The sequence below is a fragment of the Homo sapiens genome, chromosome 4 (assembly GCF_000001405.40).
Source record: "Homo sapiens chromosome 4, GRCh38.p14 Primary Assembly".
Lineage (NCBI taxonomy): Eukaryota > Metazoa > Chordata > Mammalia > Primates > Hominidae > Homo > Homo sapiens.
This window is the reverse complement of record NC_000004.12, coordinates 186,879,984-186,897,031: the sequence shown is the minus strand read 5'-3', so window position 1 is coordinate 186,897,031 and position 17,048 is coordinate 186,879,984. Positions and strand designations below refer to the sequence as shown.

Below are 17,048 nucleotides of genomic sequence, written 5' to 3'. Positions count from 1 at the left end.
GGGACTTTCTAGGAAGTCCCCTTCCATGGGTAGAGTGGTGAATAAGTTCAGAGGAAGCAGAGACAGGGATACTTTCTAAAAGCTCGGCTGCAAAAGGAAGTAGAGATACAAAAGAGAAAATGAGGAAGATGCGGGTTCAAACGAATGTCTAAGATGGAATTATCGCAATGTGTTCATAGCTGAAAGGAAAAGGTAGTGTAGATTCAAAAGCACAAGACAGACCAGGGAGGAGATGCAAAGGCACTGAGTTCGAGTATCGCATGAAGTAACAACCTCAGACTAGAAAAAAAATTAGCGAAAATGAGAGGAAATGAAAGAATAGGTAGAAATAGAAATAAACAGACAAAAACTAAACTGCATTAGCCTCAATTCCTCCCAAATCCCATTTAAATAACAGTAAAGTTATATTAATACATAATTAATAGTTATATCAATATATAATACATAAAAAGTATTAAAAATCCCAAAGGAATGCAAACATCAGCAACGCAGTTTTAGAAACTGAAAACCAGCTAGTGAGTGGTGGCTGACTTGGCGGTGTGGAAGGATACAAAGTCATCAGTACACATCTCCTTTCCTGCTGGAGCCCCGCGTGCTGGCAGCTGGCAGTGTGGCGCCCGCCTTCAGGAAAGAGTTTGGAAGCTCTCCTGGGGGCATCTGGCCCACCTACAGGAAGAGACCAACCAGTGTAGGGGATCTGCGAGAAAATGCTCAGCCAACTCATCCCACAGGGAAGCCCGCCATCAATAAAACCCCACCCACAAGCCTAGAGTTTACCAAAAAGAGCACCAAAAACCAACCTTCAAATTAAAAATAGAACAGGAGAAATAAAACATTCAGTAGAAAGATTAGAAGATGAGGTAAAGAAATCTAGAAAGCTGATGATTAAAAACAGAAAATAGGAAAAAAAGGCCAGGTGCAGTGGCTGATGCCTGTAATCCCAGCACTTTGGGAGGCCAAGGTGGACGGATTACCTGAGGTCAGGATTTCAAGACCAGCCTGGCCAACATGGTGAAACCCCATCTCTACTAAAAATCCAAAAATTAGCATGGTGGCGTGGGCCTGTAGTTCCAACTACTCGGGAGGCTGAGGCAGAAGAATCACTTGAACCCGGGAGGCAGAGGTTGCAGTGAGCCGAGATTCAGCCATTGCACTCCTGGGTGGCACCATCTCAAACAAAAAAAAAAAAGGAAAGAAAAGAAAAATGATAATAAAATTAGAGAACTATTCAAGAAAGCCAATATCTATATCATATGAGTTTCAGAAAGTAGAAACAGGAAAAGAAAATGGAGTGGAGAAAACCATCAACTGACTCAGTCGTGAAAATGGTCCCAGAGCTCCAGGATGAATTTCTGGATTAGAAAGACCCATTCAAGTTCAACGAATGAAAATAGAACCACACTAGTGCATTTCATTGGTAAATTTATAAAGGGGGGGGCGGTGAGGGGAATGTTTTCCATATAGCAAAGGAAAAACAGATCACATATGAAGGATTAAGGATTTGAATGGCTTTGAACTTCTCAACAGCAATGTTGGAAACTAAAAGACATGAAAATGGCTTCTAAATTCTAAAGAAAAATAATTTCCAACCAGTAACTCCAGACCTGGCCGAACTATCAAGTAAGTGTAAGAATAACAACATTTTCAGACAGGCAAAATCTCCAAAAGGTGATGGCCACAGAGTGGGTGTAAGTGACCCACCAAGCTAGACCAGAGGTCAGAGTCACCAAGAAGAGGAACTCGACATTAAAGTTTGAAGGGATTGGGAGAGGATGTATACACTGGAAAACCGAGCAGATTCGGATCAACCCTAGAAACACAAAGTGACGTGTGTTTTACTCGCTTTCTATACACCTCTTCGTTGAGGGAGGAATGGCTGGACCCACAACGCCAGACACTGGCCAGGTAAGATCGATGGCCGTTGATTAACAGCAAGTGCTCACAGCCCAGGGGAGAAGAGCGATGCCCACCACTCAGGCCCTCAGGAGCAGAGTGAGCAACCAGGCGGCGGGAGCCAGGCTTTGTAGTACCACGGGGGTGAGGTGACCCCTGGTCCCCATGGGAGGGTGTGATTGGCTTGTCTGAATAAAACTCCAGGCTGGTAGGGAACCGAAACTTGTTACTCAGGAATAGGCAGGAACTGTGCCTGGTCCGCTCAGTAAGGAGGGGTGTTTAGCCAAGGGACCTTATCCACAGGTGCAGGCTTGAGGGGAACTTGAGGTTAGACCATTTGATGCCTTCCTGGTTTCACCAAAGGTCAGGGCAGCATATACCACAGGGCCTTAATTTTAGGCCTCACACCAATGTTCAGAAGAGGAAAAGTAATGATAACATACCTGTGCGTAGTCATGATTAGCATTTATATCTTACATAAATGAGTACAACTTATAGGAAGATGGGACAGACAGAAAATGTGTTGTCTGTGTTGAGAGAAAGGGGTGTTGCTGTGTGGAAGAGCTAAACCCTCATGCTCCCCCGTGGGAAGTCCACAGAGGGGATCAAATGGACATATCAGTGAGTGGCAGCATCAGCGTGATATTTACAAGCGTGGATGTAAGTGCCAAACAAATTCAGTTAAAAGTGGCTGCTTCTGGGGAAGTGGAAGTTAAGGATAAGAAGGTCAGGGGCTGCTGTTTCCTCATACCTGTTTGCCTCTTTAAATTGTATGCATGAATAAATCAGAAAATTTTTTAAACCTAATTTTTAAAAATTAACGAAGATAAGTTTGTTGTGTACAGGGGAGAACATAGAGGAATTTGTTGTTTGATACTTAATAGGTCAGCTCTAGAGGCAAGCCATGAGCTGCTTGTGGCTCTCTTCCCCCAGCTGTTCCACCTTGGAGAAGTTACACAACCTCTCTGAGCTTAAGCTGCTTCCCCTCTAAAATGGAACAATCATAACGATATCTACTACCTGGCACTCTGGTGAAGATGGACGAAATGACATAAATGGTGGACTTGCCCCAATGTCTGCCCCACAGAAAGCACCCTGCTGACGTTAGCGATCTTCCATGAGGATGACTGCTTTTCTCAGCAGGGTACCAAACACTCTTGCTATAAGGTGAGGTGGTGAGGTCTGGAGTTTGAGGAATGACACGAAAATCTCAAAGAGCTGTGAGGGAAACAGGACTAGAACTGGAAATGATCGCTCTGCAGAACGGAGGGCCCTGCTGGGGTGAGCCCAAGAACGTGTAGCAAGTTCACAGTGTCACCTGCAGCAGCAGCACTGGTGCACGGGTGGGGAAATCGGGTGTTTGGACTGACGGGGGACTGGAGTTTTGCTGAGCAAAGCGGGTAAGGGAGTGCAAAAACAGTGGCAACAGTACGATTGACGTGATGGACCCTGGAGTTCAGGCTGCAAACAAAGCCTGGAGAGAGTAGAAGCAACCTGATTGATTGGGCCTGGAGGTTTTCCGCAGCCAAAGATTATGGCAAGTAAAAGGAGGCACGTGAAACTAGTTCAGAAAAAAACATCAGAGAGCAGGGGATGGGCAGGGTTTTTATTTCCTAGCCCCATGGTATAGAATAAAATACATGCTATAGAATAGCAACTTATTTTATGTCCTCACGACAGCGTTACAGAAAAGGTAAAATGAGGAGTGGGCAAAAAAAGCCTGACCCCTTTTCATGGATATCTGGGTTGTGTTAGGCCCAGCACATATTAACTTTATTTATGTTTCACAACAGTCTTATGAAGCATAATCATGCCCTCATTTTATAAAGGGTAAACTATAGCTCAGAGAAGTTGGATAATTAACTCCAAAGTCAAGGTAAGTTCCACAGCACCCAGCTGGCAATGAACTCAGAGGCAGGTGATTGGTACTGCAGCCAGCTGTGGGAACTAGAGAAAGGCATTTATTTTTCTGACGCTCAATTTCCTAAAAGTTGAGTGGCTGGATTGGGTAATCTTTAAAACACTTCCAGAATTAACGCCCTGTGCTTCTAACTTAACAGTGTCTATGAGCATCATTTTTCTCATTTGTCAGAAAGAAGTAACCAAATCTCCCTTACCCACCTCAGAGAGCTGTGATGAATACCAAATACGATAATGCATGTAAAAGTGATTTATTAAATCAACGTATGCTATATGATCAAGAGATTAAAATATTTAGAAATACAGGGGGAAAGTTACAGTCATGACGAAGAAATATAGCGAGACTGAGATTCAAATAATATCCAGAGAACACCTCTTCCAGTCACTAGCTAGAGACCTCGGGCAGGTTAGCTGACCTTGTGTGCCTCAGTTTCCTTATCTGTAAAATGAGGATTAGAAAGTGGACTACTTCAAAAGTTGTTGTGAGAATTAAGTGAGTTGGTTTATGAAAAGTATCTTTTAAAAGCCCTTGGCGTAACGCGTGTGCTAAGAACACTATTATTGTTATTACTACACTGAAAACACAAACTTCTCAAGATTAGAAAAAAAAATCCAAAGGGAAAGCATTAGGATGCTGGAATGAGAATAAAACTGAGATTTGAAAAAATAATATATATATAGTAAGATTGGTGCAAAAGTAATCGCAGCTTTTGCCATTACTTTTAATGGCAAGAATCGCGATTACTTTTGCACCAACCTAATAAGTAGGGCCCACTTAGTCCGCTGCCAATTCCAGATGAGAAAGCGGAAATAGCCAGCAGCCGCCTGTGTATGTGACTTGTGGAGCTCCATGAAGTCTGCTCTGCTCCTCACAGTTCTCAGCCCCGCAGGAGAACCACAGTGTCTGCCATTCGAGGTTCCACTATCTGGGAATGATTGCCTCAAGTGCTGGAGAATAAGAGCAGAATAAGGCAAGTCACTGTCCTTGGACACCTAATGATGAACGAATCAGCTATTTAAACAGATAGCTCAGATACACCACAGGAACTACCAGCATTTTCTGTTTAATTTATTTACCCCCCCCCCCCAAGAAAAGCCAAGCTCCAGCTGTAGAGCTGGCACCGTTCATGCTTTACTCTCCCTACTCAAAGGACACAGTCAAGAGGTGGTGCCAGCGACCTAGCGAGGAACAGCAGGGCCTGAACTAGGGAAGTGGTATCAGGAATGAAGAGGAGGAAACAGATTTAGTTTACATTCTGGGACTTGAAACTGGCAAGGTTTGGCAACTGATCGGGAGCAATTGATGAGATATTGAAATAAAGGAAAAATTCTAGATAACTCTGGAGGAACTTTGCCAAGTGACATGGATCTACAGGGCACAAACATATCAGACATGTTTTTAAAAGTCCAAGCTTATTTTTAGAATCCCTCACACATCAGCGACTGCTAGTTTCCTACCCAAAGTCTACTAAACCATATTCTTAACTAATAAAACCTGTAAATTTCTAGGTGCAGAAAAAAAATGTCTGGCTTTCCTTCCTGATGGGGTGGCCAGTGAAATGTCAGCAAATGCATTGGATGAGATTGCTGGAAAACATCTTTGCTCCTGTCCCTTCTTTCTTAAATAGAACATGGGCAGGATAGCTGGAGGCTCAGCAGCCTTGTCTGTGGACCTGAGGTGACCTTAAGGAAAAGCACTAATAAGGATGGAGAAATTAAAAACAAAAACAGCCTGTGACATAGAAGGCATCACAGCACCACCACACTGGCCCTCGGCTACTTACATTTAGGTTGGTGCAAAGGTAATCACGCTTTTTGTCATTAATTTCAACAGCAAAAACCAATATTACCTCCAGTCAGCGAGGGTGGTCCCAGTGTGTCCGAAATTGGTGGGTTCTTGGTCTCACAGCCTTCAAGAATGAAGCCGCAGACCCTCACAGTGAGTGTTACAGTTCTTAAAGGTGGCATGTCCTGAGTTTGTTCCTTCTGACGTTCCAGCCTGTTCAGAGTTTCTTCCTTCTGGTGGGTTCGTGGTCTCGCTGGCTCAAAAGTGAAGCTGCAGATCTTCGGGTGTTAACAGCTCTTAAGTTGGGGCGTCTGGAGTTGTTTGTTCTTCCCAGTGGGTTCTTTGTCTCGCTGGCTTCAGGACTGAACCTGTAAATCTTCACCATGAGTGTTACAGCTCATAAATGCAGTGTAAACCCAAAGAGTGGGCAGTAGCAAGATTTATTGCAAAGAGCTAAAGAACAAAACTTACACTGTGGCAGGCCACTCTAGCAACTTGCTAGTGCTAGCGCGGAGCAGCCTGCTTTTATTCTCTTATCTGGCCCCACCCACATCCTGCTGATTGGTCCATTTTACAGAGAGCCGATTGGTCTGTTTTACAGAGAGCTGATTGGTCCATTTTGACAGAGTGCTGATTGGTGCGTTTACAATCCCTGAGTTCGACACAAAAGTTCTCCACGGCCCCACTAAATTAGCTAGAAACAGAGTGTCGATTGGTGCATTCACAAACCCTGAGCTAGACACAGGGTGCTGATTGGTGTGTTTACAAACCTTGAGCTAGATACAGAGTGCTGATTGGTGCATTCACAATCCCCCAGCTAGACATAAAGATTCTCCAAGTCCCCACCAGACTCAGGAGTCCAGCTGGCTTCATCCAGTGGATCTCACACCGGGGCCGCAGGTGGAGCTGCCTGCCACTCCGTCGCCGTGCGCTGGCACTCCTCAGACCTTGGGCAGTGGATGGGATCGGGCGCCGTGGAACATGGGGCAGCGCTCGTCGGGGAGACTCAGGCCCGGCAGGAGCATCTGGCAGTGCGGAGGGAGACTCAGGCATGGCAGGCTGCAGGTCCCCAGCCCTGCCCGAGGGGAGGCAGCTAAGGCACGGCAAGAAATCCAGCACAGAGCCGGTGGGCCGGCACTGCTGGGGGACCCGGCACACCCTCCGCAGCTGCTGGCCCGGGTAGTAAGCTCCTCACTGCCCGGGACTTGCGAGCCGGCCTGCGGCTCCCAGTGTGAGGCCCGCTGAGCCCACGCCCACCCGGAACTCGTGCTGGCCCGCAGGCACCCGCGAAGCCCTGGTTCCCGCCCATGCCTCTCCCTCCACACCTCCCTGCAAGCTGAGGGAGCTGGCTCCGGTCTCGGCCAGCCCAGCAAGGGGCTCCCACAGTGCGGCGGCGGGCTGGAGGGCTCCTCAAGTGCCGTCAAAGTGGGAGCCCAGGCAGAGGAGGCGCCGAGAGCGAGCGTGGGCTGCGAGGGCTACCAGCACACTGTCAACTCTCACCACGGCCATCCCTCTTTCCAATCAAGCCGACCTGGAAAACAGAAACTCAAAGCAAAGAGCTCATCCTACTTCCTCTTTACCCTCCTGTCTGTCACCTTGCTGAAGAATCTCACTCATGTGCACATCAGTTTCAAGTTCTGTCTCTATTCTCTGCATGGCCACGGAGAAGCCACCAGCTGATACCAGAGCGGCAAAGGGTTGTGTGGGAGATGAGGAATTCCGCCTGGAAGAGGCTGAGTGTAAGTGGACTTGAGGAGAACCAGGGGACGATGCCCACACTGGAGCTGGAGGGGCCTGGAGCTCGGGAGAAGGGCGCTGGCTGGAGGTTAGGTGGGGGTTTGGGACCATGAACGCGGGTGGGTCGCTCGGGAGAACACGTGGAGGAACGAGAGCAGCGGGGGGTGAAAGAGCCCTGGGGCGCCGGCCTCCCGCATGCTGTGGAGGACCCCTAAGGATGGCAGAGAATGCCCAGCGCCGCCCATGAATGAGAACGAGGGAAAAACGCCTCACGTAGAGCCGGGCGTCGGGATTGTCCAAACGGAGAGGTCCCCTTAGCGAAGTGCGCCTCGGCTTAGTTTAGACGCGCGCTGTCCTGCCAGAGGGCTGCGATGAGACGTGGGCACCGGGGCTGCTCTGGAGCGCCCCTGACGGCACGGCCGGGGAAGTGAGGAGCCACAGGCAGCGGAGGGCAGGAAGGCGGGAGGAGTGGCAGGAAGGCGGGAGGAGTGGCAGGAAGGCGGGAGGAGTGGCAGGAAGGCGGGAGGAGTGGCAGGAAGGCGAGGGACAGCCTCCGCTTCCAGCGTCCCCCAGAACGCGGAGAGGCAGCCTGAGTCTTACTCTCCCACCACATCAATTCCCAGCACCGTGGGCCCCGGGGCCACTTTATTTTTTGTATTTTTTTGAGATGGGGTGTCTCTGTCGCCCAGGCTGGAGTCCGGTGGTGCGATCTCGGCTCACTGCAACCTCCGCCTCCCGGGTTCACACCATTCTCCTGCCTCAGCCTCCGGAGTAGCTGGGGTTACAGGCCCCCAGTCCACTTTCTTGGAGTCTGCTGTGTCTGACCAAAAAGCCCATCTTCGCCACATCTAAAGCTGGAAGTTCATTTGCCAGCGTTGTTTAGAGCAAAAAGGTGAGAAAAGTAGCTTAAAGTATAAGACAATTTCTGGGGGCGGCCATAGATGGCCATTTTACATATCATATCTGGTTCTTAAATTTGTACCAGAATGAATATTTGACGTGAATGGATATTTGTAAAAGATTATACATTCAAAGTTATAAACTACTAATCCCATAATTTGGTTTCGGAAGTCTGTTTCAGCAAATGATTTGTACTATTTGAAAATACATATTATTTAAATTGGCTAAAAATATTTTCATATTGGTTACTAAAACTACTTTAATTATTACGGTGGAAAGGCACCCATGTGTAAAACAAGAGACTTTGCCTGTTCTTCCAACATAATGTGCATTATAAACACTCCATCTGTCAGGTGCTTGCTGTTTAATGTACTATCAAGGTCTTTGTTTTGTTGACAATTATTCTAATCACTAAAATCCTGTTTTGAATCAGATGGAATATTTGTTCATTACCCCAGAGTTCTATTTGCCTGCGTACCTTTTCAATTCTTTTCCTAAGAGGACTAAAGCTATTTCTGTGAGAAGCTCAGCACTGAATAACTTTAAGATAAGAAATCCGATAAACTATCCATCCAAAAACTGTCACATTGGGCTTTATTAATGTGTAGCATTATACGCAAGGAAGTCTCTGTGCTTTCCTCCACCTCTAAGATGCGTGGAATGTTTATCGAAGGCCTTGCAATTGTGTTCTAACAATTGTGTCTAGTTTTAAAGATTCATTTTCACACACTGAGATCCTTGACCATTATAATTGCATTCCATATCTCTGAAGAGTGCCAGATTCATAATAGAATAGGGAAGTGTGTCTAGAGGCATGCCCTAAAAAACAATGGGAGACAGCGCAGAAACAATGCCCTTCTCATGCTGCTTCCTAAGCCTAACTGCTTTATAATCAGGAGCATGACAAAAATCGTACGAAGAATTGAAAAATTGACTTGATACCTAGAAACGAAAAAGACCATGAAGGAAGGCTGACTTGTCAAGTGGAATTTTTCTTTTCCAGCTAGAGAGCATTTATAATTTTTACTTGTCCAGATAACACAAAGGTCTCTGCTCTTCTACATACATATATTATCCATTTAGAAGAAAATATCTTCACCCTTTAGAATTTCACCCTTTATATTGTAAATCACAATGACTGAAGAGGAGGCCTGATCCTCTTTGCATGCTGAGACTAGATTTTATCAGGAAATGTTTCATCACATTCTTTTCCTGTCATTAGAGTCAATTATCATGTATATTTATGCATTCCTTTGTATGAAAGTATGGTTTGGGTCTGAAAAGAGGCTGTACAAAAGGGTGTTTTTAATTGGACAGCTTGTGTGTCTTCTAACTCATAAATGGCTAAGTGAAATTAACATGTACCTGTACTGGACAAGCTCACAAACGCCGGTTTCCACTGCTTAGCGGTGCTTAACTAACAGGGCTGAGGAGGAGGCAGCTGCGTTCCACTCGACCTCACACATCACCAGCCAGATACCCAGCCGAGCTCAGATCCCACAGATTATTATGGGTAATGATGTTTAAGGCAAAAATTGTTTGGGCATAGCACCCTAATTTGGCAGTTAGGGCAATCTTGTTGTGACTTGTAAAGTTTGCACTTAATATGCCAGGCATTTAATACATTAATTATGTGTAGAGCTGAATGCTGTGTCACAGATTTAATGCCTGAATGGTGTCTGGTCTATGAAAATAAGCATTCCTAAATTTCCAGCCAGAAGAAAAGGAAAATTTGCCCTTCCCCTGAGTCCAGGTAAAGAACTGTTTGGCAGCTTTCAGGTTGTGTGTTTGTTTGTTTTGTTTTGCTTTCCTTTTTGAGACTGGGCCTTGCTCTCACCCAGGCTGGAGTGCAGTGGTGAGATCATTGGTCACTGCAGCCTCAAATTCCTGGGTCTCAAGCCATTCTCCTGCCTCAGCCTCCTGAGGACTGGACTACAGGTTGGCCACATACCCGGCTAAGATTTTTTAATTTTTTGTAGAGATGGGATCTCGTTATTTTGCCCAGGCTTGTCTCAGCCTCAGTGATCCATTCACCTCGGCCTCCCAAAGTGCCGGGATTACAGATGTGAGCCACCACAGTCATCTCTCTGGCAGCTTTGAAAGCCTATATCGCCTGTTTACATCTTGTCAGCTACAGCATCTGAAGTGTTTTCTTTCAAGGAGTATCCACCTTTTGAGATGGAGCCCACCAACTAATATGGAAGCTGAAAAATGACCAGCTCTTGTCTCCTCAAACTCCCTGGCAGCTGGGGAGTATAGATACACAATCGGGTTCTGCCAGCCCAACAGACCCACTCCTGCACCTTGAACCTGCTGGGCTGCTGACCTGAGAAGCAGGGCCATGCGGAATCCACAGAGCAAGGTGGGGGTGTCCAAGGGCACGTGCAGCCAAGGGGCACGTCATTGCTGCAGCTACATCTGGTTTCAAAGGCAGTCGTTTTTAAAGTGCCTGCGACTGCCGGCAGGAATGTAAATTAGTACAACTTTTATGGAAAACAATATGGAGATTTCTCAAAGAACTAAAAATACAGCTACTTTATGATCAGCAATCCCATTGCTGGGTATCTACCAGGTACTGGGTATCTACCTAAAGGAAAAGAAATCATTATATTCAAAATCTCTGCACTCATGTTTTTCACAGCACTGCTCACAATAGCTAAGATAGGGAACCCACCTAAGTGTCCATCCACAGATGAATGTCTTCATATACAGAAAATGTGGTGTATGTACACCAAGAATACTACTCAGCCATAAGAAAGAATGAAATCATGTCTTTGGCAGCAACATGGATAGAACTGGAGGCCATTACACTAAGAGAAATAACTCAGAAACAGGGAGTCCAATACCGCATGTTCTCATTTATAAGTGGAAGTTAAACAGCGGGTACACACAGAGACACAGTGTGGAATAACAGACATCGGGGACTACACACGGTGAGCTGATAGAAGGGGGTGAGGGCTGAACATTTACTACTGGGTACCATGTTCACTGTTCAGATGTCAGGGATGCCAAATCCCAGGCTCCACCGCTATGCAGTATCTGCATGTGAGAAACCTGCCCCTGTACTCCCTGCTTCTATAAAAAAATTAATAAAAACATGTTTAATATGTAATTTTGAAAAATAAAAAATTTTTTAAAATGTGTCTTACGTGGGGATATCAGCAGTGCAAGCCACCATGTCTGTGCCCAGCAGCAGCAGCTGTGAAGTGTTCACTGTTGGGAAAAAAACTTCTCCACTACCAACTTAGTTCCGCCGACTGGGGGCCTGCAAGTTAACTGATGATAGATTAACAGGAGAAACATGCATTGCACCTGCAGGAGTACCCTGTAGAGAGAGCAGCTCCCAGAACGTCTGGGAGTAAAGAGCATACATTAGCTTAAGTAAGGAATCCGGGGTATGTTAGGGCATGAAAGGATGGAGGGTTCTGATGAGGCTTGTTTATGCAATGTTTTTAGAATGGACTGGAGCCCACGGTGAGTGCCACTCTGAGTGGAGACCAGGGGTAGGGGCAGGGAGCAGCTGCGGTGGCCGACCCTCTAAAAGCTCTGCACTAGTCAGATAAGAGAATTTCAGATATGATTTCTTTCTGCATCTTCTGAAGCTCATATGTTGTCACTTTGAAGTAATTTCTGTACCAGTTTGGGAGGTTGTTGGTCTCTTCATACTTACCTTGCAGTGGGATTTGGAACACTCTTAGTGGCACAGTTTTCAATTCTACAGGCTCTCCTATTCTGTAAGTTCCTAAAATATTTTTACGAATATGGTTTACTATACAAATAATTTATTTGCTTTCAGTAGCCTTTATCTCTGAAAACAATTACTGCATTTAAAGACAAATTGAAGGCATGTAATGACGAAAATTTAGAAGCACTTCCATTATAATCAGAACCAGAACAAGGATGATTACTATTTCTGTTCATATTTAACATTATCCTAGGTAATGTCCTTGACAAGAACATTTTAAGAGGTAAAATAATCACAAATGAAGAGACACAGGCATTTATTATTTGCACACAAATATATATATATATATAAACCAAAATAAAGTTATTAAGACAAATGTGAAAAGTTACTAAATACAAGATCAGAATTTTAAAAATCAATACAGTTCCTATATAACAGTTAGAAAATGTATTAGAAAAAATATTCCACTCAAAATTATATTTTTAAGAAGGTATAAGTTATCAGGAATAAGTCTGATTTTAGATATAGAAGACCTTTATTAAAAAATTATAAATATTATTGGCAGACATAAAAGAAGACCTAAATAAATAGCAAGATAGACCACATTCATGGATGGAAAGATTCAATATCACAAATATGTCAATTTACTTCTAATTTATTCTGTAAATTAAGTGAGATTACAATCTAAATCCCAAAAATATTTTTGTGGTAATAAGCTAACAGCAAAATACTTATGGAAGAGCAGAAAGACAAAAAAAAATCAGAAACAATTTTGAAGAACAAAGTAGATGATTTGCCCTATGAGATATTGATATTTATTTTTTAGCATTAAGATATCATATTGGTAAAAAGATGAACAAAAATAATAATAATAATTGAGAGCCCTGAAACAGATAGACAGATAGCCAGATACTCTGAGGGAAACTGAAAATTGTTAGGCAAAAAAATGCACTATACAATATAAGATGCTGGTACAACTGTCTACACATATGCAAAATGGCATATATGCAAATAATATAAAATTAAATCCTTATAATTCCAGGAAAAGCAAAATTTAAATTTTTCAGAAAAATACAGAAGAATATCTTTGTGACACTGTTTAGGGAAGATTTTTGAAACACACAATAAAATCCACACAATAAAGAAAAAGATGGATAAATTTGACTACATTACCCTTAATAAGCTCTACATAGCAAAAGATATATAGAAAGCCACAGTCTGTGAGAAGATGTTTTCAACACAACAAACTAACAAAGGATTAATAATCATAATATATAAAAGATTCCTACAAATTAACAGGAAAAAGGCAAGTAATCCAATAGGGAAAACAGACAAGACATAAACAGGCAATTAAAAAAGAGAAAACCTCAACTGAATAAACAAGTAAAAAGATACTCAACTTCATTGGTAATCAGGGAAATGAAAATTTATGCCAAGAAATGAGATGCCATTTCACATCTATCAGATCAGCAACACTTAACATTTGCAACGCCAGTGTTGGCGATCTGGTTGATCAAAAGGAACTGGTGGTAGTGCAAATTGACAGAAATGCTAGTGAAAGACGTTAAAACTCCACAATTCAGCAATCTGCTTCTAGGTGTATTACAGGTGTGCACAAGATGTGCAGAAGAATAAAGTTTACAAGTAGTCAGTGCAGCAACTTTTGTAATAATCAAAAAAAAAATTTTTTTAATACTTAAATGCCCGTCAAAGAAAAATGAATTAATAAATTACGGTATATTAATATAATAAAATATTCTATGGCAATTAAGATAATTAAAATGAATAAATTAAAACTACATGTATCAACATGGACAAATCTCAAAAACAAGGTTATTTTTTAAAAAGCAAATTTATGCATATAGCATGGTACTGTATGTAAACATAAAAATTTTAAAGAACATGCAAAATAATAATGCATATTGCTTATGAGTTCATGTATTTGAAACAAAAGCTTACATAATGAAGTGATAAACATCAACTCCTTAATGGTACAGAGAAAAACAGAATCAAGAAAAGGCACATATGGCAATTAACTGTATCAATTCTAAGTTCTTTAAATTAAAAAATTATCAGAAGCAAAAACAAAACTTTTGAAAGGCATGATCAAAACAAAAGTGGGAAAAATGTGGAAATCATATAAAATTAGATTATCAGAGAATACTTAGAGTACATTGCAGGCTTTCAGCATTTGTGTAAGTCAACAGAGGGACTTCTTCTATATGGTCCAAAGTCTCTATTAAAGTTAAGTTTCAAATCTTGAAAGTAATGAATTTAAGAATTCTTCAGGTTGCTTTTTCATCTGCCTTTTTAAAAATATATCTTTGGTTTACCTGGATTCTGGCTGCTATGGAACAGATTAGCAAGAGATCTAAAAGTTACATTGAGTCAAGGTATCACGTCTTACTCATTCCTCAATACAAAAAAAAAAAAAGTTAAGTTATCTGAGTTTGTTTCAGCTTATTCAGCCTACATTATGCAGGGATGCAATTAGAAAGCTGGTGGCTGATTGCAGACTTTACTTCCTCTACTCCTAGAAGAAGCTCTTCTCACATAAAAAGCATTCTCAGACATTCCCAACTTGGTCATACAGAGAGTAGTGCAGGCCACATTTAGACACTATGCCAACACATTTAGAAAACTAGATGAAAGCAATTATGCTATTTTGCAAAGTCAACACAGGACTGAGACATGAAAATCACAACAGGAGAACCACATTTAAGAGTTTTGTTACTAACACACCTGTCTCTAAATTCTGCTACTTAATAACAAACTCTCTGATCATCCACTAAAAACGTAATTGCAATAACACTATTAATAGTAACCCAGCACACCCAGCTCATCTATCAGGACCCTGAGACCCTTGGAACAGAGTCTACAAAACAATCTATAAATATTTGACCTAAAACTGAAAAGAAGTGAAACCCACTACAAGTGAGGTCCTAACAATTCAAAAGCACTCCACTAATATTACCAGCAAGCAGTTCTGAAGATGAAATAGACAGACAAGCTAACCAATAATGAGATTCCAGATGGGAGTGAGTCATCAATATTGAGATGGGATTCCTGTGGTTCAACTCTGCTGGATCTGGAAGGTAAGAAGACAGATGAAAGAAAATGTTCTAAGCAGCTCTGGAGCAGTAGGCTGACACTCAGGTAGGAAATTAAATACATTCCCACACAGCATCGATGAGGACAGTTTGTGAAATGCAAAATAATAGCAGCAGATAAACCAACAGGCTGCATGATAGTAAGACATTTTGAGAAGAAAAAAATTGTCCAGTAAACCACGAGAGAGAAAACTAACCTAGTAACAGGCTGTTCAAACAGCAAATGGAGCTACCAGGGAAAGAACAGTCACCCTGCAAGGGTATGTCTACAGCACTTGGTATTTCAGCCACACACCATTAATTGAGCCTTAAAGTGAGTCATAATGCATACACATTTGAGTACCAGACTAACACACTAAATACCTAGTGTCAAATACAGTTTTTCTGAGGAGCAATGGGAAGCTGCCAGGTCTTTCCCCTCGGTTTGCTTAAGCAAGTTAGATAAAGTAAGTTATGTCCCAAGGAGTCAAGGGCACCAAGAAAGTCTCGAAAATACAGGTCCTCAAAAACATAGCATAGTCCATCTGATTTGTTAATGTCATCTTTTAATGTGCAATTTGTTCCCCTAGAATGTTAAACATACAAATTCTTAAGACTTTCATTTGGATCTGTTCTTCCTAGCAGAGATAGGAATCTCGCTCTGAAGAAATGAGCTTGAGGGAGAAGAAAGGGAGGTATTTTAGGGAATGGAGAGCATATTTGCAAGAAAACCTAATTTCACAGAACATTTACCATTACAATCATTGAATCAAACTATATTTTGATTCAGAAAATACACAGGCAATAAAGTCAGAGCCCTTGGGAGGATGGGCCTGAACATCCTCTGATGACTAATTGACATTTTGGGCCATCAGAAGGAACTATAAGAATTAGAAAGCAGGAAGTCTGCAAGTTAACTTCAAATTTTTGTAGTTACATTGAATTCTCGAAAGCCATTAAAAAGCATCTTACCATACTAGTCTTCCCTTTCCTCACTCTGTTCCCCTCTCCACTCTGCCTTCTTTCTGTTTCTCAGGTGCACCCAGCTCCTTCCCCACTTAGGATATTTGCACTCTTCTTCCGTTTACCTACAATTACTTCCTTCTATATTTTCAAATGGCTAACTTGTTGCATTCAGGTCCCAGCTCAGTATCACTACTTCAGTGGACTATTTTCCAACCAGTCATTCTGAAATAATTCATCACGTCATTCTCTATCACATTACTCTAATTATTTTCTTTATAGACTATATATCACTGTAAAAGTATCTTGTTTGTAAATTTTACTTTTTTAAAATCTTTGTTCACTAAGACTTAATGTGCTAAAAAGTCAGAACTGTATCTGTCTTTTCTACAACAGTGTCCAGAACAATACCTAGCATGTCATAGGCTCTAAACACTTATGTAGGAAATGAATACATTAATGAATGAATGGCCAAACTTTATTATGTGACTTTGTAAACATAATTTTAGAAAGAACACTGTTCAACATGAAAAGAATCACTAAATAACTGTGCCCTGCACCATGTAGCATTCTTTTTCATTTCCCTTACATCCAGAAGGAACTTAGCAATATGTCTGCTCAGTATGGATTTGGAAAGAGGAAAAATAATAGTAACAATAGTAATAATAACATCTGTATCAGTCAGGGTTCAAGGAAAGTATCAAGAACCATCATAGGTAATGTGTAGTAGTCCATTTTCACGCTGCTATAAAGAACTACCTGAGACTGGGGAATTTATAAAGAAAAGAGGTTTCATTGACTCAATTCCACATGGCTGGGGAGGCCTCAGGAAACTTACAATCAGGGTGGAAGGTGAAGGGGAAGTAAGGCACGTCTTACATGGCAGCAGGAGATGGGCGGAGTGCCACACTTTTAAACCATCAGATCTCATGGGAACTCACTCATTGTCACCAGAACAGCATGGGGGAAACCACCCCCATGATTTAACTACCTCCCACCAGGTCCCTCCCTTGACACGTGGAGATTACAGTTTGAGATGAGATTTGGGTAGAGACACAGAGCCAAACCATATCAG

General features: G+C 42.5%; 2 long non-coding RNA genes across 7 annotated transcripts in view; both read right to left on the bottom strand.

The window, feature by feature from the left end:
- Window positions 1–17,048, bottom strand: part of LOC102723906 (uncharacterized) — a 220,555-nt gene that overhangs the window by 164,185 nt on the left and 39,322 nt on the right. The window lies entirely within an intron of this gene.
- Window positions 4,049–7,765, bottom strand: LOC105377599 (uncharacterized). Its single transcript, XR_939596.2, has 3 exons — window positions 5,664–7,765; window positions 4,571–4,761; window positions 4,049–4,252 (listed from the first exon to the last, which is right to left on the bottom strand). It is a non-coding gene; the product is annotated as an uncharacterized LOC105377599 (long non-coding RNA).